This window comes from Homo sapiens, chromosome 13 (genome assembly GCF_000001405.40).
Source record: "Homo sapiens chromosome 13, GRCh38.p14 Primary Assembly".
NCBI classification, from domain to species: domain Eukaryota; kingdom Metazoa; phylum Chordata; class Mammalia; order Primates; family Hominidae; genus Homo; species Homo sapiens.
Genome location: NC_000013.11, coordinates 19,758,125 through 19,783,713, shown reverse-complemented (window position 1 = coordinate 19,783,713; position 25,589 = coordinate 19,758,125). Strand labels below are relative to the sequence as shown.

Here is a 25,589-nt window from a genome sequence, read left to right as displayed (position 1 = left end):
TATAAAAACCTTGCTCTTGAAACAGAAATAAAGATTTTTAAAAATTACTGGGAGGTATCTTGTTATTGAATGCTACATCCAAAATATGCAAGTTTTTATTTTTCCACAATCATTGAAAATTGAGCTTGATATGGCCGGGCGCGGCGGCTCACGCCTGTAATCCCAACACTTTGGGAGTCCGAGGCGGGTGGATCACAAGGTCAGGAGTTTGAGACCAGCCTTACCAACATGGTGAACCCGTCTCTACTAAAAATACAAAAAAATTAGCCAGGCGTGGTGGTGCGCACCTGTAATCTCAGCTACTCAGGAGGCTGAGGCAGGAGAATTGCTTGAACCCAGAAGGCGGAGGTTGCAGTGAGCCGAGATCGCGCCATTGCACTCCAGTCTGGGCGACAGAGGGAGACTCCGTCTCAAAAAACAAAACAAAACAAAACAAAACAAAACAAAACAAAACAAAATTGAGCTTGATATCTAAAAGGGTAAGGATGTTTACTCAAGTCATTGTATTTTCACACACTGCTGCACACATCACATAATTTGTCCCAAGAGTACAGCCAACAACAGTTTTGATATTTTAGCAGGATGGGAAAGGACGTCTTCACCCTCCTAGGAGATTTGTCGATTGCACGCGCAGCGTTATGCGCATGCGCGGTCAGTCAACGGTCCGTTGGTGCCGCGAGTGCGCAGGCGCGTCGTTCCGGCGCCGGCTTTGGCGGAGGGGTGGGACTTGCACCGGCGTCTCTTCTTCTAACTGCAGTTTGTGGCAGCGCCATTTTGAATGTGCAGCTGCAGCGGGCGTGAGTTGGGGGAGGACGGGTTGCCGACTCGCCTACCTAGCGGTCTCTTGATTGTCGATATTTTGTTGGCATAGGTTTATGTAGAGACGTATACATATATATAGACACACTGTCTATAAATCTAGGCCTGTATCCGGTGTCCGAGGCGAACTCAGTAAGATGATGTTAAGAGGAAACCTGAAGCAAGTGCGCATTGAGAAAAACCCGGCCCGCCTTCGCGCCCTGGAGTCCGCGGTGGGCGAGAGCGAGCCGGCGGCCGCGGCAGCCATGGCGCTCGCTCTTGCCGGGGAGCCGGCACCGCCCGCGCCCGCGCCTCCAGAGGACCACCCGGACGAGGAGATGGGGTTCACTATCGACATCAAGAGTTTCCTCAAGCCGGGCGAGAAGACGTACACGCAGCGCTGCCGCCTCTTCGTGGGAAATCTGCCCACCGACATCACGGAGGAGGACTTCAAGAGGCTCTTCGAACGCTATGGCGAGCCCAGCGAAGTCTTCATCAACCGGGACCGTGGCTTCGGCTTCATCCGCTTGGTGAGTGTCAGGCGCCCGCGCGAGGGAACAAAAGGACTGTCGGGGTGGCCGCGGGGTCGTGGGGCTGAGGCCAGCCTCGTCCTAGGACGCTGTCTCAACCTGTGGCAACCGTGGCGCCGCTCGGCCTCATCGATTCCTCTGTGCGGGGTTGGCCGCTTCCCCAGCTCGGCGCCTTTGGTTTCGAGTTCACGGTCCCGGGATTTCCTGCGCTCACAGTGGCCGCCGTTTTCTGCCGTGCGCCGATCGTGCTTTGCGGTGGCTGCAGGCCTGCTGCCCTGCGCTGGATCGGGCATGGTGCACCCTGTCCAGGTAGCGAGCGCTCCCGGGTTCCCCGTTGCCCCGGGTACCGAAAGGGTCCGGGGACAGGGGCGGGCAGCGTTTTGGGGTGAGAATTCTTCAAGGCAAAAATCGTGCCATAAAAAACGAATTGGATGTACATTTGGAAAGGAAGCTTAAGTCGGACCAGACGTATCACTGGTCGTGAGGGTCTGTCCAGGAGACTTGCTTCTTAAACAATTATTAACATCCCATCCTTGGCTTCAACCACACCTATATGCGTTTAAGGGTAGACCACTTTATTTCTTTTTAAATTAAATTTATTTATTTTAATAGAAATGGGGTCTCGCTATGTTGCCCAGGCTGGTCTCGAACTCCTGAGCACGAGCGATCCTCCTGCCTTGGCCTGCCACTTTATTTCTCACCTCAGTGCAGCCTGCTATTTACCTCAAACTGCTTAGGTGCCCAAACTCTGTACTCAAGTAACACCGTTTAATCTGCAGTAATGAGACAGTGTTTAATTGTATGTATCTAATATAGTGTTTTTCTACCAAACATCCTGGAGAGTTTCACGTTTTTATAGGGGGGAGAATAGTTGATACACAGTACTACTTCATAAATTACTGATACATATCCCAGTATCAGAGTAATATAGCTTACTCTCTTTTAATCTAAACTTTGAAAAGTTTTCCAATAATTTATGCAAAAATTATGATTCCTTTATATTTAAAAAAAATTTGAACAAGCCTGGCCAACATGGCGAAACTCCATCTCTACTAAAAATACAAAAATTAGCTGGGCGTGGTGGTGCGCGCCTGTAGTCCCAGTTACTTGGGAGGCTGAGGCAGAGGCTGCAGTGAGCTGAGATCACGTCACTGCACTCCAGCCTGGGCGACAGAGCGAGATCCCGTCTCAAAACAAAACAAAAATTGCTAAGGTTTACGCCTTTTTTTTTTTTTTTTTTGAGACTGGGTCTCGCTCTATCACCCAGGCTAGAGTGCAGTGGCGCGATCTCAGTTCCTGGGCTCAAGAAGTTCTCCCACCTCAGCCTCCCGAGTAGCTGGGACGGGGACTACAGTCACGCACCCCCAAGCCTGCCTAATTTTTGTATTTTTTGTAGAGGCGGTGTTTCGCCATGTTGTCCAGGTTGCTTTCGAATTCCTGGGCTCAAACGATCCTCCCGCCTTGGCCTCCCAAAGTGCTGGGATTACAGGGTGAGCCACTGTGTCCGGCCTGGAACTTTGATTTTCAAAATTGGGTTCTCTGTCTGGACGATACAAAATCTTTTTAATTTATTTTTTTATTGATAATTCTTGGGTGTTTCTCACAGAGGGGGATTTGGCAGGGTCATGGGACAATAGTGGAGGGAAGGTCAGCAGATAAACAAGTGAACAAAGGTCTCTGGTTTTCCTAGGCAGAGGACCCTGCGGCCTTCCGCAGTGTTTGTGTCCCTGATTACTTGAGATTAGGGATTGGTGATGACTCTTAACGAGCATGCTGCCTTCAAGCATCTGTTTAACAAAGCACATCTTGCACCGCCCTTAATCCATTTAACCCTGAGTGGACACAGCACATGTTTCAGAGAGCACAGGGTTGGGGGTAAGGTCAGATCAACAGGATTCCCAAGGCAGAGGAATTTTTCTTAGTGCAGAACAAAATGAAAAGTCTCCCATGTCTACTTCTTTCTACACAGACACGGCAACCATCCGATTTCTCAATCTTTTCCCCACCTTTCCCGCCTTTCTATTCCACAAAGCCGCCATTGTCATCCTGGCCCGTTCTCAATGAGCTGTTGGGCACACCTCCCAGACGGGGTGGTGGCCAGGCAGAGGGGCTCCTCACTTCCCAGTAGGGGCGGCCGGGCAGAGGCGCCCCTCACCTCCCGGACGGGGTGGCTGGCCGGGCGGGGGGGCTGACCCCCCCCACCTCCCTCCCGGACGGGGCGGCTGGCCGGGCGGGGGGCTGATCCCCCCACCTCCCTCCCGGACGGGGCGGCTGGCCGGGCAGAGGGGCTCCTCACTTCCCAGTAGGGGCGGCCGGGCAGAGGCGCCCCTCACCTCCCGGACGGGGCGGCTGGCCGGGCAGGGGGGCTGACCCCCCCCACCTCCCTCCCGGACGGGGCGGCTGGCCGGGCGGGGGGCCGACCCCCCCACCTCCCTCCCGGACGGGGCGGCTGGCCGGGCGGGGGGCCGACACCCCCACCTCCCTCCCGGACGGGGCGGCTGGCCGGGCGGGGGGCCGACCCCCCCACCTCCCTCCCGGATGGGGCGGCTGGCCGGGCAGAGGGGCTCCTCACTTCCCAGTAGGGGCGGCCGGGCAGAGGCGCCCCTCACCTCCCAGACGGGCCGGCTGGCTGGGCGGAGGGCTGACCCCCCCCCACCTCCCTCCCAGACAGGGTGGCTGGCCGGGCGGGGGGCTGACCCCCCCACCTCCCTCCCGGACGGGGCGGCTGGCCGGGCAGAGGGGCTCCTCACTTCCCAGTAGGGGCGGCCGGGCAGAGGCGCCCCTCACCTCCCAGACGGGGCGGCTGGCCGGGCGGAGGGCTGACCCCCCCACCTCCCTCCGGGACGGGGCGGCTGGCCGGGTGGGGGGGCTGACCCCCCCATCTCCCTCCCGGACGGGGTGGCTGGCCGGGCTGAGGGGCTCCTCACTTCCCAGTAGGGGCGGCCGGGCAGAGGCGCCCCTCACCTCCCGGACGGGGCGGCTGGCCGGGCGGGGGGCTGACCCCCCCACCTCCCTCCCGGACGGCACGGCTGGCCGGGCGGGGGGGCTGACCCCCCACGTCCCTCCCGGATGGGGCGGCTGGCCGGGCGGGGGGCTGACCCCCCCCACCTCCCTCCCGGACGGGGTGGCTGCCGGGCGGAGACGCTCCTCACTTCCCAGATGGGGTGGCTGCCGGGCGGAGAGGCTCCTCACTTCTCAGACGGGGCAGCTGCCGGGCGGAGGGGCTCCTCACTTCTCAGACGGGGCGGTTGCCAGGCAGAGGGTCTCCTCACTTCTCAGACGGGGCGGCCGGGCAGAGACGCTCCTCACCTCCCAGACGGGGTCTCGGCCGGGCAGAGGCGCTCCTCACATCCCAGATGGGGCAGCGGGGCAGAGGCGCTCCCCACATCTCAGACGATGGGCGGCCGGGCAGAGACGCTCCTCACTTCCTAAATGTGATGGCGGCTGGGAAGAGGCGCTCCTCACTTCCTAGATGGGATGGCGGCCGGGCGGAGATGCTCCTCACTTTCCAGACTGGGCAGCCAGGCAGAGGGGCTCCTCACATCCCAGACGATGGGCGGCCAGGCAGAGACACTCCTCACTTCCCAGACGGGGTGGCGGCCGGGCAGAGGCTGCAATCTCGGCACTTTGGGAGGCCAAGGCAGGCGGCTGGGAGGTGTAGGTTGTAGCGAGCCGAGATCACGCCACTGCACTCCAGCCTGGGCACCATTGAGCACTGAGTGAACGAGACTCCGTCTGCAATCCCGGCACCTCGGGAGGCCGAGGTTGGCGGATCACTCGCGGTTAGGGGCTGGAGACCGGCCCGGCCAACACAGCGAAACCCCGTCTCCACCAAAACCAGTCAGGCGTGGCGGCGCGTGCCTGCAATTGCAGGCATTCGGCAGACTGAGGCAGGAGAATCAGGCAGGGAGGTTGCAGTGAGCCGAGATGGCAGCAGTACAGTCCAGCTTCGGCTCCGCATGAGAGGGAGACCGTGGGGAGAGGGAGAGGGAGGGGGAGGGGGAGGGGGAGGGGGAGGGGGAGAGGGAGAGGTCTTAATATGTAGAGAAAATTGTAATTACATGGTACGGTATTTTTATTAATTTTTTTCTTTTTTAAAAAATTAATCTTCTAAAACCTTTAAGATAGTGTAATTTTTTTTTTTTGAGACGGAATCTTGCTCTGTCACCACGTTGGAGTGCAGTGGCGGGATCTTGGTTCACTGCAACCTCCACCTCCTGGGTTCAAGCGATTCTCCTGCCTCAGCCTCTGGAGTAGCTGGGACTACAGGCGCATGCAACCACGCCCAGCTAATTTTTGTATTTTTAGTAGAGACGGGGTTTCACCATGTTGGCCAGGATGGTCTTGACCTATTGACCTCGTGATCCGCCCGCCTTGGCCTCCCAAAGTTCTTGGATTTCAGGGGTGAGCCACGGCGCCCAGCCAAGGGACTGTTTTTTTGAGAGGGAGTCTCACTCTGTCGCCCAGGCTGGAGTGCAGTAGCGCGATCTCGACTCACTGCAACCTCTGCCTCCCTGGTTCAAGCGATTCTCCTGCCTCAGCCTCCTGAGTAGCTGGGACTACAGGTGTGTGCCACCAGGCCTGGCTAATTTTTGTATTTTTAGTAGAGATGGGGTTTCATCATGCTGGTCAGGCTGGTCTGAAACTCCTCACCTTGTGATCCGCCTGCCTTGGCCTCCCAAAGTGCTGGGATTACAGGTGTGAGCCACTGTGCCTGGTGAGACTGTATTTTTTAGGGCAAACACTTCAACATGTAAGTGGCTTCAAGAGAAGGGTAAATATTCGCAAACTATTAATAATAATGAAATATGGAAATTTCCTTAAAATTCAGGTTAAATAATCATTACATTTTGAACATTATAAATGCATTTATTTATTTTTTGGACATCAGAGACAGCTCGCCATTTGGTGAAAATTTTTATGTAAAAGTTATCTTTTTTTTTTTTTTTTTTTTTTGAGCTGAGGTCTTGCTGTGTCGCCCAGGCTGGAGTGCAGCGGTGTGATCTTGGCTCACTGCAACCCCCGCCTCCTGGACTAAAGCGATTCTCCTACCTCAGCCTCTGGAGTAGCTGGAATTACAGGCGCCCGCCTTCATGCCCGGCTAATTTTTGTATTTTTAGTAGAGATGGGGTTTCACCATGTTGGCCAGGCTGGTCTCGAACTCCTGACCTCAGGTGATCCACCCGCCTCAGCCTCCCAAAGTGCTGGGATTACAGGTGTACAGGTGTGAGCCACTGTGCCTGGCCTCTTTTTTTTTTTTTTTTTTTAGATGGAGCCTCGCTGTCACCCAGGCTGGAGTGCAGTGGCACACTGGGCTCACTGCAGCCTTGCCTCCCCAGGTTCAAGCGATTCTCACTCCTCAGCCTCCTGAATAGCTGGAATTACAGGCATGACACCAGCCCAGGCTGATTTTTGTATTTTTAGTAGAGATAGGGTTTCACCATGTTGGCCAGGCTGGTCTTGAACTCCTGACCTCAGGTGATCCACCTGTCTCGGCCTCCCAAAGTGCTGGGATTACAGGCATGAGCCACCATGCCCGGCATATTATTTTTTAGGGTTTTAAAAATTTACATATAGTAGGCCGGGCGCGGTGGCTCACGCCTGTAATCCCAGAACTTTGGGAGGCCGAGGCAGGCGTATCATGAGGTCAGGAGATCGAGACCATCCTGGCTAACACAGTGAAACCTCGTCTCTACTAAAAATACAAAAAATTAGCCAATTGTGGTTGCAGGCACCTGTAGTCCCAGCTACCCGGGAGGCTGAGGCAGGAGAATGGCGTGAACCCAGGAGGCGGAGCTTGCAGTGAGATTGCGCAGCTGCACTCCAGCCTGGGTGACAGAGTGAGACTCCATCTCAAAAAAAAAAAAATTTGCATATAGTAAAGGGTACACATTTTAAGTGTACTGGTTGGTGATTTTTGTTTTTTCTCTTGAGACAGAGTGCCCAGACTAGAGTGCAGTGGCATGATCATGGCTCACTCTAGCCTCCACTTCCGGGGCTGAAGTGATCCTCACACCTCAGCCCCTCAGGTTGCTGGGACCGCAGGCACACACCACCACACCCAGCTAATTTTGTTTATTTTTTGTAGAGACAAGGTCTCTCTCATTATGTTGCCCAGGCAGGTCTCAAACTCCTGGGCTTACATGATCCCTCCTCCTCAGCTTCCCAAAGTGTTAGGATGACAAGTGTGAGCCACCATGCCTAGCCACTGGTTTGTGAATTTTGACAAATGTATATGTCTGTTTAACTCAAACCCCTATCAAAATATACATATTATCACCCCATTAAATGTCTTCATATTTCTTCCTATTCTCATTTTATTTTATTTTTTTTTTGAGATGGAGTCTTGCTCTGTCACCCATGCTGGAGTGCAGTGGTGCGATCGCGGCTCACTGCAAGTTCCGCCTCCCGTGTTCACACCATTCTCCTGCCTCAGCCTCCCCAGCAGCTGGGACTACAGGCGCACACTGCCACGTCCGGCTAATTTTTTTGTACTTTTAGTAGAGACGGGGTTTCACTGTGTTAGCCAGGATGGTCTCAATCTCCTGACCTCGTGATTCTCCTGCCTCGGCCTCCCAAAGTGTTGGGATTACAGGCGTGAGCCACTGTGCCCAGCCCTATTCTCACTTTCAAAACTGTTTCTAAAGTCTACCTCTTAAGAGTTGTTGGATTATATGATGTATTAGGTAAGAAAGTACCCATCTCTTTTTAGGTGTTTATTAAGTGCTTGCTGCTACTACTGTTACTAGTGAGTTAAAAGCAATAAACAAAACGACTGTTTAGAATGCAATTATCCCTCAGTATCTGTGGGGGATTGATTCTAGGACCTCCTCCAGTACTAAAATTCGTAGATGCTCAAATCCTTATACTGTGTAAAAATGGCATTGTTTTTCCATGTTACCCATGCAATCCTCCTGTATACTTTAAATCATCTCTAGATTACTTGTAATACCTAGTACAATGTAAATGCTGTATGAATAGCTGTTATGCTGTATTATTTGGTTTATTTTTTTTTTTTGTCTATTTATTTTTTTGAGACGGAGTCTCGCTCTGTCACCCAGGCGTGAGTGTAGTGGCACTGTCTCAGCCCACTGCAACCTCTGCCTCACGGGTTCAAGCAATTCTCCTGCCTCAGCCTCCTGAGTAGCTGGGACTACAGGCCCGTGCCACATGCCTGGCTAATTTTTGTTTTTGTTTTTTTTTGTATTTTTAGTAGAGACGGGGTTTCACTATGCTGGCTAGGCTGGTCTCGAACTCCTGACCTCGTGATCTGCCCGCCTCGGCCTCCTAAAGTGCTGGGATTACAGGCATGAGCCACTGCGCCCAGCCTATTTAGTTTCTTTTATTTAAATTTTATTTTTTTATTTTAAAGGAATAAAGAAGAGGTCTTGCTATGTTGCCTAGGCTGGTCTTAAACTCCTGGCCTCAAGGATTCTTCCTGTTTTGGCTTCCCAAAGTGCTGGGATTACAGGTGTGAGCCCCCTTACCCTGCCTGTCAATTTTAAATTGTTTCTTTCCCAAATGTTTGCTTTTCTTTCTTTCTTTTTCTTTTTCTTTTTTTTTTTTGTTTTTTTTTTTTTGGACACAGAGTCTGTCCCTGACACCCAGGCTGGAGTGCAGTGGTGTGATCTTGGCTCACTGCAACCTCTGCCTTCTGGGTTCAAGAGATTCTCCCACCTCAGTCCCCCAAGTAGCTGGGACTACAGGCGCTTACCACCATGCCCCGGCTAATTTTTGTATTTTTTGATAGAGACTAGGTTTTGCCATGTTGGCCAGGAGGCCGGTCTTGAACTCCTGACCTCAAGTGATCTACCTGCCTCAGCCTCCCAAAGTGCTGGGATTACAGGTGTGAGCCATTGGGCCTGGCCCCAAATATTTTTGATCCACTTTTGGTTGAATCCATGGATACAGAGGGATGACTATATCTCTAAAAAGGGTAACTTCATTTGTTTTTGTAAAAATAATTCTATAGGTAGATTTTTGCAATAAAGGGCAATAATTTCAAGCTGTCATGAACATTTTAGGGATTGAATAAAGAGCTCTTGTGACCTTAAGACAATTTTCATAAGACAGTATGTTTGTATTCTTCTTACATATACATATAAAGCCTCTTCAGTTGTCCTTGGAGAGTTCCCATAACACAATGAAAAAGACATACTTCTGTTAAATTTACCAGTTCCTTATTTATTGTTTTAGGTGCTGCCCATATTCTACACCAACTTTGAATTCTCCCAGTAGAAGGAAGTTCTCTTACCTTGTAGTTTCAGCAATGAGCATATTTTTTAGTTTATAGTAAGTGTATATGTACACTTTATATAATGGCGAGAACTATTATAGCTCGTGAATGTTGCCTTTGTTTCTCTTCATGTAATAGTGAGAAATGTGTAACCCATGCCAGTATTTCAGGAGAAGTCATTAAGAAGACATTGGCTAGGGCAAGATGGCTCACACCTGTAATCTTACACTTTGGGAGGCTAAGGCGAGAGGACTGTTTGAGGCCAGGAGTTCGAGAGACCAGCATGGGGAATATAGTGAGACCCCCCCATCTCTACAGAAAATTAAAAAATTAGCCATGCTTGGTGGCATGCACCCGGAAACCCAGCTACTCGGGAGGCAGGAAGATCCCTTGAGCCCCAAAGTTTGAGGCTGCAGTAAGCTATGATTGTGCCACTGTACTCCAGCCTGGGCACCAGAGTAAGACCCTGTCTCAGACACCTCCCTCCCCTGAAAAAAAAACCCAAGAACTAACAGTTTTTACATATAAAATTGAAGAGAAATGAAAATAAAAAGAAAAGGTGATTTGTCTGGCTGTAGAGAGGTGGGATGTTTTGTTAAGATATAAAAAACAGGCCGGGTGCGGTGGCTCACGCCTGTAATCCCAGCACTTTGGGAAGCTGAGGTGGGCAAATCTGGAGTCAGGAGTTCAGGCCAACATGGTGAAACCCCGTCTCTACTAAAAATACAAAAAATTAGCTGGGCGTGGTAGCGGGCACCTGTAATCCCAGCTACTTGGGAAGCCAAGGCAGGAGAATCTCTTGAACCCAGGAGGCAGAGGTTACAGTGAGCCGAGATTACGCCATTGTACTCTAGCCCGGGTGACAGTGCCAGATTCTGTCTCAAAAAAAAAAAAAAAAAATGAGATAAAAACATAAAGGGTATGGAGAATTATTCCTTTGTTGATAGTTTCTAGTCAAGTTATTATTGTTTTTTTATTTTTATTTTTTCCGAGACAGAGTCTTGCTCTGTTCACCAGGCTGGAGTGCAGTAGCGCCATCTCAGCTCACTGCAACCTCTGCCTCCTAGGTTCAAGAGATCTCTTGCCTAAGCCTCCCAGGTAGTTGGGATTAAGGCACCCGCCACCACGCCCAGCTAATTTTTGTATTTTTAGTAGAGGTGGGATTTCACCCTGTTGGCCAGGCTGGTCTCAAACTCCTGACCTCAGGTGATCCGCCCGCCTCAGCCTCTCAAAGTGCTGGGATTACAGGGGTGAACCACTGTGCCCAGCCTCTAGTCAAGTTGTTAATATGTGTTCTTAATATATGTAGGAGATTTTAAAACTATATTGCTTTGAATATTTAATAGTTGGTAACTGGCCTTATGAAGAGCTAATCTTTAAATGATTACTTTTAACAAAACAATGGAGTTGGGACCTTTTAATTAAAATGTTTAAAATGATCATTGAATAGTTAAAAACCATGTGATACCAAAGTTAAAAGATACAAAATCAAATTGACCCTGTCAGCCATTTGCTAAAGATACCTAGTTCTCCCTAGAAGCCAAACACTGTTTTGAATTTTTTCTGTTACTGTCATCTTTTAAAAATGTTTTTTCTTCCTAAAAAGGAATCCAGAACCCTGGCTGAAATTGCAAAAGCAGAGCTGGACGGCACCATTCTCAAGAGCAGACCTCTACGGATTCGCTTCGCTACACATGGAGCAGCCTTGACTGTCAAGAACCTTTCTCCAGTTGTTTCCAATGAGCTGCTAGAGCAAGCATTTTCTCAGTTTGGTCCAGTAGAGAAAGCTGTTGTGGTTGTGGATGATCGCGGTAGAGCTACAGGAAAAGGTTTTGTAGAGTTTGCAGCAAAACCTCCTGCACGAAAGGCTCTGGAAAGATGTGGTGATGGGGCATTCTTGCTAACAACGTAAGTTTTAAATATCTTGTCCTTCTTCTATCCAGTTACATATGGGCTTCTCTCTGTTTTGGAATTCTGTCTTTCATTGCAGTTCATACTAGCATATGGTAAGTAGGTGTTGAGTAAATATTCAGTGAATATAAATAAGAAATTTTCGTGTACTGGTAGGAGTCAAGAGTCATGTACTTTCTTCAAACTTCAGAGTTTAAATCTCTGCAGTGTTTTGTATTATTTCATTTAACTTAATGAACATATATACAAAGTAAAATCTATAAACTTAAGGTAATCCTTTCAGAAATTGTAATCAGCTTTATTGACACCTAATTTACATTAATAAAAAGCACCTCAGGGGTGCAGTGGCTCAAGCCCCAGACTTTCAGTGCGCGGATCACCTCAGGTCAGGAGTTCATGACCAGCCTGGCCAACATGGCATGAAACCCCATCTCTACTAAAAATACAAAAATTAGCCGGGCGTGGTGGTGCATGCCTGTAGTCCCAGCTACTGGGGAGGCTGAGGCTCAAGAATCACTTGACTCCGGGAGTCGGAGGTTGCAGTGAGCCGAGATCATGCCACTGCACTCCAGCCTGGGTGACAGACTCTGTCTCAAAAAAAAAAACAAAACCTCATCTCTTCTAAAAATACAAAAATTAATTGGGCGTGGTGACACATCCCTGTAATCCCACCTACTCAGGAGGCTGAGGCATGATAATTGCTTGAACCCTGGAGGCAGAGGTTGCAGTGATCCCAGATCATGCCACTCTACTCCAGCCTAGGTGACCGAGTGACCTTGTCTCAAAAAAAATAGTACCTTGGGCCAGGCGCGGTGGCTTATGCCTGTAATCCCAGCACTCTGGGAGGCCCAGGCGGGTGGATTGCCTGAGCTCAGGAGTTCGAGACCAGCCTGGGCAAATGGCGAAACCCTGTCTCTACTAAAAATATGAGGAATTAGCCGGGCTTGGTGCTGCGTGCCTGTAATCCCAGCTACTTGGGAGGGTGAGTCACCAGAATCGGTTGAACCCGGGGGGCGGAGGTTGCAGTGAGTCCAGATTGTGCCACTGCACTCCAGACTGGGCGACAGAGCGAGACTCTGCCTAAAAAACAAAACCAAAAACAACAACAACATAAAAACATCTTGGGGGCAGCGTGGTGGAGTGCACAGTAGTCTCAGCTATTTGCGCTGTAGTCCCAGCTACTCAGGAGGCTGAGATGGGAGGATCACTTGAGCTCAGGAGGTCAAAGTTGCAGTGAGACCCTGTCTCTATTTAAAAAGAAAATTAAAAATAATAATAAAATAATAAAAGACATTCTGTTGTAGAGCTCAATGAGGTGTTTTTTTTGTTTGTTTTTTTTTTTGGAGACGAGTCTCACTCTGTCGCCCAGGCTGCAGTGCAGTGGCGATCTTGACTCACTGTAACCTCTGCCTCCCAGGTTCAAGCAATTCTCCTTCCTCAGCCACTTGAGCAGCTGGGATTACAGGTGTGCACCACCATGCCTGGCTAATCTTTTGTATTTTTTTCTTTTGAGATGGAGTCTTGCTGGGTTCAAGTGATTCTCCTGCCTCAGCCTCCCGAGTAGTTGGGATTACAAGCGTGAACCACTGTGTCCGGCTAATTTTTATATTTTTAGTAGAGATGGGGTTTCACCATGTTGGGCAGGCTGGTCTGGAACTGCTGACCTCAGGTGATCCACCCACCTTGGCCTCCCAAAGTGCTGGGATTACATGCATGAGCCACCATGCCTGGCCCGTATTTTTGTAGAGACGGGGTTTCACCATGTTGGCCAGGCTGGTCTCGAACTCCTGACCTCAAGTAATCCACCTGCCTGAGCCTCCCAAAGTGCTGGGATTACAGGTGTGAGCCACTTCACCCGGCTGAGCTCAGTGAGTTTTAACAAACATATGTACTCATGTAACACACTGCCATAATAAAAATACAGAACACTTCCGTTACCCCACAGAAGTTCCCTTGTGCCCTTTTACAGTTATTCTGCACTCTACCTGCCTTAGATAGCTATTTCTTATTTATAAATAAGTTTTGTGTTTTCTAATATTAAGTGAAATCATATAGTATGTATTCTTCTGTGTCTGGCTTCTCTTGCTCAGCATATGTTTATGAGATTTCATTCATATCTTTGTGTGTATAGTATTTTGTTCCTTTTTATGGCTGAGTCATATTCCATGGTATGGACATAACTATGTTTTGTCCGTGACATATGGATGGATATTTGAGTTGCTTACAACTACTGGCCATTGTGAATAAAGCTACTATGAGTATTTGTTTACAAGGCTTCTTGTGAATATTAGGCTTTCATGTGGCTTAGGTAAATATTTAGGGGTAAATTGCTGTATGTTTAATTGTATAAGAAACTGCCAAGTTCTTTTCCGTGGTGGTTGTATCATTTTACATTCCTACCAGCAATGAGTGAGTGACTTCTAGTTACTCCACATTTTACCCACACTTGGTGTTTTTATTTTTTATTTTTATTATTTTTATTTTATTTTATTATTATTTTTTGAGACGGAGTTTTCGCTCTTGTTGCCCAGGCTGGAGTGCAATGGCGCGATCTCAGCTCGCTGCAACGTCTGCCTCCCGGGTTCAAGCGATTCTCCTGGCTCAGCCTCCCAGATAGCTGGGATTACAGGCATGCGCCACCATGCCCAGCTAATTTTGTGTTTTTAGTAAGACGGGGTTTTTTTTTGAGACGGAGTCTCGCTCTGTCCCCCAGGCCGGAGTGCAGTGGCGCGATCTCAGCTCACTTCAAGCTCCGCCTCCTGGGTTCACCATTCTCCTGCCTCAGCCTCCCGAGTAGCTGGGACTACAGGCTCATGCCGCCACGCCCGGCTAATTTTTTGTATTTTTAGTAGAGACGGGGTTTCACTGTGTTAGCCAGGATGGTCTTGATCTCCTGACCTCGTGATCCACCTGCCTCGGCCTCCCAAAGTGCTGGGATTACAGGCGTGAGCCACTGCGCCCGGCCGTTAGACGGGGTTTCTACGTGTTGGTGAGGGTGGTCTCTAACTCCAGACCTCAGTTTGGCCTCCCAAAGTGCTGAGATTACAGGCGTGAGCCACCGCGCCCAGCCTATTATTAATTTTTTGTTAATTTGCTTTTTGAGGCAGAGTCTTAATGTGTCACCCAGGCTGGAGTGCAGTGGTTCCATGTCGGCTGCTACAACCTCTGCCTCCCGAGTTCAAGTGATTATTGTGCCTCAGCCTCCTGAGTAGCTGGGACTACAGGCATGCACCACTATGCCTGGCTAATTTTTTTTTTTTTTTTGCAGTAGAGATGGGGTTTCGCCACGTTGGCTAGGCTGGTCAGGAACTCCTGGCCTCAAGTGATCCACCTGCTTCGGTTTCCCTAAGCGCTGGGATTACAGGTGTGAGCCACTGTGCCCAGTTGCCACTTGGTGTTTTTAGACTTAGATATTCTAGTTAGTTTAGCGCAATCTCATTGTGATTTAAATTTTATTTTCCTGATGACTAATGATGAGCATCTTTTCATGTGCTTTTTGGCCAATTATATATCTTTCCTGAAATATCTAAAATTTTTTGTCCATTTTTTTAGATGTCCCCCTTATTCATTTTTTTTTCTTTTCTTTTATTTGAGACAGAGTCTTGCTCTGTTGCCCAGCCTGGAGTGCAGTGGCGTGATCTCGGCTCACTGCAAGCTCTGCCTCCCGGGTTCACGCCATTCTCCTGCCTCAACCTCCTGAGTAGCTGAGACTACAGGCGCCAGCCACCATGTCCGGCTAATTTTTTTTGTATTTTTAGTAGAGACAGGGTTTCACATGTTAGCCAGGATGGTCTCGATATCCTGACCTTGTGATCCGCCCGCCTCAGCCTCCCAAAGTGCTGGGATTACAGGCGTGAGCCACCACGCCCGTCCCCTGCTTGTTATTTTTAATTGGGCAGATTGTCTTCTTACTGAATTATGAAATCTAGATAAGTCTGTATTATAAATCTTCCTGCCAGTCTGTGGCTTGTTTTTAAATTTTCTTTTATTTTTATTTATTTATTTTTTTGGGGGGGGACACGGTCTTGCTCTGTCACTCAGGCCAAAGTGCAGTGGAGTGATCTCGGCTCACTGCAGCCTTGACCTCCTGGGCTCAAATGATTCTCCTTCCTCAGCCTGCTGAGTAGCTAGGACTACAGGCATGTGCCACCATGCCTGGCTAATTTTTTGAATTTTTTTTTAAAGTAGATATGAGGTCTTGCTATGTCACCCAGGCTGGTCCCTAACTCCTGAGCTTAAACTATCCTCCTGTCTTGGCCTCCCAAAGTGCTGGAATTACAGGTGTGAGCCATTGCATCTGTAAAGTTTTTTAACTTTAACAGTGACCCTCAAAGAGCAGATGTTTTTATATTTTATGAAGTCCAAATTTCATCAATTTTTTTCTTGTATGGTTTGTTCTTTTTGTGTCCTTGTATGATCTTTGCTTAAGATTGCAGAGCTTTTCTCATGTTTTCTTGAGAAATTTTATAGCTTTTACATTTATACATTTTGAGTGTGACGTAAAAATCCTTGTTACCGTGCAGGTCTCCAGTTGTTCCAGCACCATTAATTGAAAAAATTTATGATTTCCCCTTTGTTACCAGGAAAAAAAAAATCTGTACTTTTTTGTTTCATTGACCAGTTTGTCAGTTCCAAAATTGTACTTGCTTAATTACCATATTTACCCTAAGCTTTGAAATCAGGTAGTATAATCATCCAATTTTATTTTTTCAAAAATTTTTTTGGCTATTTAGGTTCTTTGTATTTGCTTATTGTATGGTGCTGTCAGCTATTGGTTGGGATCATTCAGATGTTTTAGGGTTTAGGGAATTTAGGGTTTAGGGAATTGATCCCTAAAATTTAAAAAATTTTGTTTCCTGGCTCTATGGAACTTAGTTGCTGATTTGTAAGCATTTTAAAACTTACTTTCGACTATTAAGCATTGATACTAAAACTGAAATTCGTGCTATATCTGCTGTTTTACAACACAATCTTGTCAGAGATTGTGCTCTTATTCTCTTTCCTTAGAGAATGCTCTTTCTTCAGATTGTCATAGATCTTGCTTTTCCATTTTATTTTTATTTTTTAATTTTTTATTTTTTTTCGTATTTTTAATAGAGCTGGGGTTTCACCATGTTGGCTAGGCTGGTCTTGAACTCTTGGCCTTAGGTGATGTGCCTGCCTCAGCCTCCTAGAGTGCTGGGATTACAGACATGAGCCACTACTCCAGGCCTACTTTTTGTATTTTTTGTAGAGGTGGATTTTGTCATTTTGTCCAGGCTGGTCTTCAACTCCTGAGCTCAAGCAATCCACCTGTCTCAGCTGGCCTCAGCCTCCCAGAGTGCTGGGATTACAAGTGTGTGAGCCATTGTTCTTGTCCTTTTTTTTTTTCTTTTTTTTTCCTCGAGGCAATGTCTCAGTGTGCCTCCCAGGCTGGAGCGCAGTGGCATTATCACAGCTCGTTGCAGCCTCAACCTGCTAGGCTCAAGTCATCCTCCCACCTCAGGCTCCCAAGCTGCTGGGACTATAGGCATGCACCACCACACCCAGTTAACTAACGATTTCTTATTGATAGCTTTTTTTTGGAGATAAGGTCTTACTCTCACCCAGGCTGAATGCGATCATAGGTCACTATGCCCTCAGCCTCCTCAGGCTCACATGATCCTCCCACCTCAGCCTTCCGAGTAGCTGGGACCACAGGCATGTGCCACCAGACTTGGCTAATTTTTTTACTTTTTGTATTTTCGCCATGTGGCCCAGGCTGGCCTTGAACTCTTGGGCTCAAGTGATCTGCTCGTTTTGGCCTCCCAAAGTGCTAGGATTACAGACACAAGCCACCGCTCTTGGCTGGTAGGATTGATTGATTGATTGATTGATAGATTGATTTGAGACAGGGTCTCACTCTGTCACTCAGGGTGCAGTTCTGTGGCATGTTCTTGGCTCACTGCAACCTCTGCCTCTTGGATTCAAGCGATTCATGTGCCTCAGCTGCCTGAATAGCTGGGATTACAGATGTTCACCACCACACCTGGCTAATTTTTGTATTTTTAGTAGAGACGGGGTTTCACTATGTTGACCAGGCTGGTCTCGAACTCCTGACCATAAGTCATCCGCCTGCCTCAGCCTCCCAAAGTCCTGGGATTACAGGCGTGAGCCACTGCGCCCAGCTGCAGGCTTGCTTTTTAAAACTCTTTTCTGCACACTTTTCCTGTGCAGAAGAGTACAAAAATAATTTTGTACTTTTCCTATTTTATATTTATATTTGAAAGGGATTACTTTTTCCAACATTTTATTTGCTTTATCATATCTTTCCATTAAATGAGATTACTTTTAGACAAAAAAAATTCTTTAAGAAAAACATTATAATATTTCCATTGCCTGTTGAAAATAATGAGTTATCTAGGAAAACCTGCTGATAAGTATAAATTGCTACTTAACTTTTTAGGAAAGCAACATTAACCCTTGATATACTATCAGTGCTAATTGGATCCAGTTTTAGTTTTTTGCTTTCTTTTTTTTGTAAAGATTGATATTTCCTTATTTGTTATTTGTAGTTATTTGTAAAGACTGATACTTCCTTATTTCTTAGAGGTCTTCAAAAGAACAAAAAGAAAAATTAAAAAAATTAAAACAAGCTGAGTGTAGTAGTAGGCACCTGTAGTCCCAGCTACTCTGAAGGCTGAGGTTTGCTTGAGCCCGGGAGTTCGAGACTAGCCTGAGCAACGTCGTGAGACCCGTCTCTCAAAAAAAAAAAAAAAAAAATTAGATCCCTTTTCTTAAAATTACCACATGGATCTATTGTGTCATTTTGTAAATCTAAGATATCATTATCAGATCCTAGTGATTTTATTTTTTCTCCATCATAAAATATTTTATTAATATCGTCATCCTGGTAATAATAATAATAATAATAATTATTATTATTATTATTATTTTTGAGATGGGCTCTCATTCTGTCACCCAGGGTGGAGTGCATGGCATGATCTTGGCTCACTGCAACCTCTGCCTTCTGGGTTCAAGTGATTCCTGTGCCTCAACCTCCTGAGTAGCTGTGATTACAGGTGCGCACCACCACACCCAGCTAACTTTTGAATTTTTACTGGAGACAGGGTTTCACCATGTTTGTCGTGGCTGCATCCTGATAATTATTTTATCATTACTATTCAACTATTCTCAACCATGCTTATAAATATGCAACTGAGCTAAAATGAAAAACCATCACAAAATGGTACATGTCTATAAGGGTGATTCAGTGCAGAAATAAATTGTCATCATCATTACACATTCTTCGTTTTAAAAATTATGTGTAGCTTGGGCAACATGGCAAAACCCTATCTCTACAAAAGAAAAATAAAAAAATTAGCTAAGCATGGTGGTGCACACTTGTAGTCCCAGGTACGTGGGAGGCTGAGGTGGGAGGATCACTTGAGCCTTGTAGGTCGAGGCTGCAATGAGCAGTGATCATGCCACTGCATGGCAGCCTGGGCAATAGAACAAGACCCTGTCTCAAAAAAAAGAAATTACATGTGCAAAATATTGCATTATCTTTTAAGCCACCTTTTTTTTTTTTTTTTTTTAAGGCAAGTTCTGCTCTTACCCAGGTTGGAGTGCAGTGGCACGATCATAGCTCATTGTAACCTGGAATTCCTGGCCTCAAATGATCCTCCCACTTCAGTCTGCCAGAGTGCTGGGATTACAGGCAAAAGCCACCTTGCCCAGCCCTTAAGTCACCATGTTTTTTTTAGTACTGTATATTTTACCTTGTTTCCACAGTTCTAAGAAAAGATCAGCCACAATGAGGAAAGATCAGTCACAAATACGTAGTTGATGTTATATATAATTACAGAAAACATGAAAACCCCAGATGTATACCAGTTGGTATGGTTAAAAAAATTATTGTGCATGCATGCAGTGCGTAAAATGGTGCCATTTTACATTGAGTACATTGGATATCTGAAAAAAAGCATGTATAGGTAATTCATTTTATGTAAACTTATGCATATATCCAACAGAAAGGCAAGTCTTAAGTGGTTTTCACAAAAATGTGATCAGAGCTCCTCTCCATATGTTAGGATTTCAGGGGCCTTGTTTCTTCTGCAATACTTGCTATTTAAGTTTTTTCACAATGAAACATTTTTCAAGTTTTTTTGTAAATAAATTAACACTTTAAATTTTAGTATTTTCAAGCCTGAAAGAACACTGAAATACTTTTTCTCTCTCTTACCCCCTGAAAAAAACCTTCAGTTTCTTTTTTTCCGAGACAGGGTTTCAGTCTGCTGCCCAGGCTGGAGTGCAGTGGTGTGATCTCTGCTCACTGCAACTTCCACCTCCTGGATTCAAGCAATTCTCGTTCCTCAGTCTCCTGAGTAGTTGGGACCACAGCCGCTGCCCGGCCACCATGCCCGGCCAATTTTTTGTATTAGTAGAGATGGGGTTTTACCATGTTGGCCAGGCTGGTCTCAAACTCCTAACTTCAGGTGATACACTTGCCTTGGCCTCCCAAGGCGTTGAGATTACCAACGTGAGCCACCACGCCTGGCCGAGTTCACTTTGATTTAATGAACTCTCTTTACCAAGAACTGTGCTAAGTGCCCTACCTTTCTTCTTTCGTTATCATAACAACCCTATGATGCACTGATATCCCATTTTACCGATGAGAAAACTTCAGAGAAAACTTCAGCTAGCGCAGGAACCTCCTAGCCAAAGGCTATGCAGCTCATAACCTGCTGTAAACCCCAGGGCCTCAGTCCCGAAGCCTCTCTCTCTCAGTCCTTCAAGTTTATAACCAAACTAATGATTGACTTGGTGGTAAAATGGGGAGAAAAACAAAAACCCAAGCAGTAACTTCAGATTTAACATTATGGTTGAACACTTTGATTTGTTTCTTTTTGATCTGTTTTGTACTTATTATATACTTATATTTGCAAAAAGAGTAACCTGGACAGACGTAGTCACTCATGCCTATAATCCCAGCACTTTGGGAGGCTGAAGCGAGAGGATATCTTGAGCCCAGGAGGTTGAGGCTGCAGTGAGCTGTGATCGCCCCACTGCACTCCAGCCTAGACAACAGAGTGAGACACTGTCTCAAGAAAAAAGAATAAATGTAGTTATTATACCTATGGTAAACAGAATTTAAGTTGAGTTTTTTTTTTTTTGGAAACAGTTTTGCTCTTGTTGCCTAGGCTAGAGTGCAATGCCGCGGTCTCAGCTCACTGCAACCTCTGCTTCCTGGGTTCAAGTGATTATCCTGCCTCAGCCTCCCAAGTAGCTGGGACTACAGGCATGTACCACCATACCCAGCTAATTTTTTGTATTTAGTAGAGACGGGGTTTCACCATGTTGGTCAGGCTGGTCTCAAACTCCTGAGTGATCCACCTGCCTTGGCCTCCCAAAGTGCTGGGATTACAGCTGTGAGCCACCGTGCCCGGCCTTAGGTTGAGTTTAACAAATTTTGGTTATACCTAAAGATGAAAGTGAAATAAACAAGATGAGTCAGAAAATGGACAAAGGGAGCTTCTATAGGGAGTGGTGTATGTACAATGAAACCATAGATAGAAACACATTTTAGCATGTGTTCCAATAAATAAAAATAAGACACAGTCCCTTAAGTAATTCCCTTGTACACAATACGTACCCATGTTCCTTGGTCTTTTTATGTTGTGTAATTAGATGAATGTGGTTGTGATTGATCTTTTTTTCTGAGACGGAGTCTCGTTGTATCATCCTGGCTGGAGTGCAATGGCACGATCTCGGCTCACTGCAACCTCTGCCTCCCAGGTTCCAGCGATTCTACTGCCTCAGCCTCCCGAGTAGCTGGGACTACAGGCGTGTGCCACCACGCCTGGCTAATTTTTGTTATTTTTTTTAGTAGAGATGGCATTTCACTATATTGGCCAGACTGGTCTCAAACTCCTGACCTCGTGATCCACGCACCTCGGCCTCCCAAAGTGCTGGGGTTACAGGCGTGAGCCACCACGCCCAGCCTGATTGATCTTTGCTCACTGGTTTATGTTTCTTCAGAAGTGGAATTGTAGGAGCAAGATGATATATAGAGTGGTAGAGGGAGACTTTATAAACTTGTTTGTATCGATTAAGTTCCCTCTTAGAAATCTGTACTTCTCCTCTCCCGCACTGTGTAAGAGTTGTCTAGTGGTCCAAACTTACATGTGAAAAGTTTACAATTTGTTAAAATCTCTAACATATTTGAGAGTACAGAGATGTCAGAGTTTTCCCTTAATTCTGATTACGGTTTCCCTTGGCTTCATATACTTTTGTCATTTCTGATGAATGACATATCATCTGCTTAGTTCATTTTTCCCTCTTAATTCTGTTTCTGAAGTTTCTCTGAAGGGGGATGGTCTTGTGTTACTGGAGGGGTTTGCTTGTTTCTTTGTTGGCCTCTGCTCAGGTGCACCTTTTATCTGATTCTGTTACTGTTCTATGTTTGTGGCCCTGCCATAGCTTCCAGCGGATGAATGGTCCATAAAATGCATCATCTTCATTTTGGCCCTGGGCCTTTTTGGGTACTTTTAGAAGTACCACATCTTAAGTCTCTTTACCTTTGGGTTCCTATTCAGTTTATCTGAGGTTTCTATAATCTCATTCCACCACTCCATGATATTCCATACCTGCTTTAACTGTTTCCTTAAAATGTCTTCACTAACTCAGTAATAATTTTGAAAAGTTATTTTGTATCTTTTCTTACATTTAGGATCTAAAGTCTGTGTTAATCTCTGGTATTATGTGTAAGAGAAGCTTTTGGAGTCCAAAAACCCTTCATCTCTCTAGCTTAGTTTTTTCTCTCTGAAGCATCACTGTTTTGAAGGTAGTATAAATAGATTTTAATGCCCCTTGCATGGTGAAGAGCCGATCTCAAAGGAAATTTTAATATCAGTGTGCCATCCATTCTGCTTATTCCTCTTCCCCTCCATGAACTCTCCTTTTCTCCTATTTTACTGAAGAAAACAGTAAAGAAGGAGGGCCTCTAGTCATATCTTTCATTACCCACTCTTGTCATTTCCTTATCCCAGCTTTTCTCCTTGAATGTCTGGTGTCTTCTGCCTTCCCTTTTTCCCTTTTTGTCTGGCTAACATCTTTTATTTTTATTTTTATTTAGAGATGACATCTTGCCTTATTGCCCAGGTTAGAGTGCAGTGGCTCTATCATAGCTCACTGCAGCCTCAAATTCCTGGGCTCAAGTGATCTTCCCACCTCAGCCTCCTGAGTAGTGTATGCTACCTGGCTAATTTTAAATTTTTTTTTTTTTTAATTTGAGACGGAGTTTCACTCTGTCGCCTGGGCTGGAGTGCAGTGGCGTGATCTTGGCTCACTGCAACCTCCGTCTCCCGGATTCAAGCGATTCTCCTGCCTCAGCCTCCTAAGTAGCTGGGATTACAGGCGTGCACCACCACGCCCGGCTAATTTTTTGTATTTTTAGTAGAGACGAGGTTTCACCATGTTGGTCAGGCTGGTCTCAAACTCCTGATCTTGTGATCCACCCGCCTCAGCCTACCAAAGTGCTGGGATTACAGGCGTGAGCCACTGTGCCCGGCTAATTTTAAAATTTTTTATAGAGACAGGATCTCGTCATCTTTCCCAGGCTGATCTTGAATTTCTGGGCTCAAGCCATCTTCCCCGCCTCTGCTTCCCAAAGCTCTAGAATTACAGGTTTGAGCCACTTCGCCGAAATGTTTTAGGTCGGATTTTCAGCTTTAACTTTTTTTTTTTTTTTGGTGACAGAGTCTCACTCTGTCGCCCAGGCTGGAGTACAGTGGTGCGATCGCCACTCACTGCAACCTCTGCCTCCTGAGTTCAGGCGATTCTCATACCTCAGCCTCCTGAGTAGCTGGGACTACAGGCGTGTGCCACCACGCCTGGCTAAATTTTGTAGTTTTAGTAGAAACGGGGTTTCACCACGTTGGCCATGTTGGTCTCAAACTCTTGACCTGAGGTAGTCCGCCTGCCTTGGCCTTCCAAAGTGCTGGGATTACAGGTGTGAGCCACTGTTCCTGCTGGCCAACATTTTTAAGAACTTTCTGAACAATACTGATAGATACAGGGAAACTGGGTGGTGGGTACAGATGGGTGGGTTGAGGTGGTGGGACATGTTGATGATAAAGATATATATTTAGAAAATGTCTCACTTGAGAAAAATGTCTCAGAAGTATCATTTGTACTCATAAAAATCAATCAATAGCTGAAGCAGTGGCTGTGATGATGACCACACATATAAAACATGGGTTAGGTACAAATTCGTTTTCATTATACTTTCTAAATGTTAACTATAACCGTTATGCTGGTTCATAATTGTTGCTTTATTTACTCATCTTTTTGTGGCTTTTGACATTCACCTCTCTCTGACTCAGTAAATGTTTATTGACTGATTTTTTTTTTTTTTTGTGATGGAGTCTTGCTGTGTTGCCCAGGCTGGAGTGCAGTGATGCGATCTTGACTCACTTCAACCTCTGCCTCTGGGGTTCAAGCAGTTCTCCTGCCTCAGCGTCCTCAGTAGCTGGGATTACAGGCACACACCACAATGCCCGGCTAATTTTTTGTATTTTTACTAGAGATGGAATTTCACCATGTTGGCCTGGATGGTCTTGAACTCCTGACCTCAAATGATGTGCCCTCCTTGGCCTCCCAAAGTACTGGGATTACAGGCGTGAGCCACTGCTTCGGCTGTTGACTGATTTTTATGAGTACAAATGATACTTCTGAGACATTTTTCTCAAGTGAGACATTTTCTAAGTATATATCTTTATTATTATAAAACATTTCTTTTAAGACGGTATTAATTCTTGGCACTGTGTTAATTTTTATGAATGCTTTTATACCTATCCAGGACCCCTCGTCCAGTCATTGTGGAACCCATGGAGCAGTTTGATGATGAAGATGGCTTGCCAGAGAAGCTGATGCAGAAAACTCAACAATATCATAAGTAAGATTTTATTAATAGATAATTTGTGTCTGTACTATTAAGGGTGTTCATTACATTTGTTTTCAAATATTGGATTATGAGGTGTTCTGTTTATTTATATAATCTGGGTAATAGAGTGGTCTAGTCTACATGGAATGCTAGTTTTCTTTTCTTTCTTTCTTTTTGTTTTTTTTGAGATAGTATCTTGCTCTGTCGCCCAGGCTGGAGTGCAGTGGTGTGATCTTGGCTCCCTGTAATCTCTACCTCCCACGTTCAAGTGATTCTCGTGCCTCAGACTCCTGAGTAGCTGGGATTACAGGCACGCACCACCATGCCCAGCTAATAGTTTTCTTTTTTTATATGGGTAAAACATACTAATTTTTTTTAGAAATGTCTACTTTTATAACTGGGGCAGGGAGGGTACTAGGAGGACACTGTCAATAATATTCATGCCAGAAAAACGATGAAATCTAGATAACATGAAAATACTTTTTTTTTTTTTGTTTTTGAGATGGAGTCTTACTCCTGTAGCACAGGCTGGAGTGCAGTGGCGTGAACTCGGCTCACTGCAACCTCCACCTCCCAGGTTCAAGCAATTCTCCTTCCTCAGCCTCCCGAGTAGCTGGGATTACAGGTGTGCGCCACCACGCCCGACTAATTTTTTTGTGTTTTCAGTAGAGATGGGGTTTCGCCATGTTGGCCAGGCTGGTCTCAAACTCCTGATCTCAGGTGATCTACCCGCCTAGGCCTCCCAAAGTGCTAGGATTACAGGTGTGAGCCACCACGCCCAGCTGGAAATACTTCTTAAGTTTTATTTTGTGCTTCAAGTCTATTGTAGGTTAAAAGGAGATTTTTGGTGTGCCAGGGTAGAGCAGGGTATTCCTAGTTAAATAACCTGGCACAGCGGAAAAACTCTTAGAGGTTGCAAAAAATAGCTCATTTTCAAAATGTATGTTTATTTTCCCTTTTCACTTAGAATAATACAAGTATATTTACATAAATTGCCTATATGAGTGCACTTTTTTTTTTTTGAGACGGAGTCTCACTCTGTTGCCCAGGCTGGAGTGCAGTGGCACGATCTCGGCTCACTGCAAGCTCCATCTCCCGGGTTCACACCATTCTCCTGCCTCAGCCTCCCGAGTAGCTGGGACCACAGGCGCCCACCACCATGCCTGGCTAGTTTTTTGTATTTTAGTAGAGACGGGGTTTCACCATGTTA

The 25,589-nt window shown here is 46.4% G+C and overlaps 1 protein-coding gene across 17 annotated transcripts in view, besides 3 other annotated features; it reads left to right on the top strand.

Moving 5' to 3' along the window:
• Nucleotides 758-837: an enhancer, noted in NCBI's record as "active region_7409". NCBI's record gives its function as "activates an Ori minimal core promoter by ATAC-STARR-seq in GM12878 lymphoblastoid cells {active_cell/tissue: GM12878}" and the evidence as "EXISTENCE:reporter gene assay evidence [ECO:0000049][PMID:35858748]".
• PSPC1 (paraspeckle component 1) overlaps nt 769-25,589 on the top strand; it is a 111,741-nt gene continuing 86,920 nt past the window's right edge. For 16 of the 17 annotated variants that reach the window (XR_007063689.1, XR_007063688.1, NR_003272.4 and 13 more), the window contains exons 1-3: nt 769-1,328; nt 11,171-11,472; nt 24,296-24,391. Coding sequence is in view for 9 of the 17 variants with exons in the window: in XM_047430435.1 (XP_047286391.1) it covers nt 957-1,328; nt 11,171-11,472; nt 24,296-24,391 (770 nt within the window). In the remaining 8 variants the exon portion in view is untranslated. The remainder of the gene's footprint in view (nt 1,329-11,170; nt 11,473-24,295; nt 24,392-25,589) is intronic. The other variant, NM_001042414.4, reaches the window with a different exon arrangement.
• Nucleotides 14,207-14,766: an enhancer, noted in NCBI's record as "H3K4me1 hESC enhancer chr13:20343088-20343647 (GRCh37/hg19 assembly coordinates)". NCBI's record gives its function as "activates a minimal SCP1, AML or CMV promoter by ChIP-STARR-seq in naive H9 embryonic stem cells {active_cell/tissue: H9 hESC(naive)}" and the evidence as "EXISTENCE:reporter gene assay evidence [ECO:0000049][PMID:30033119]".
• Nucleotides 17,106-17,606: an enhancer, noted in NCBI's record as "H3K27ac hESC enhancer chr13:20340248-20340748 (GRCh37/hg19 assembly coordinates)". NCBI's record gives its function as "activates a minimal SCP1, AML or CMV promoter by ChIP-STARR-seq in primed H9 embryonic stem cells {active_cell/tissue: H9 hESC(primed)}" and the evidence as "EXISTENCE:reporter gene assay evidence [ECO:0000049][PMID:30033119]".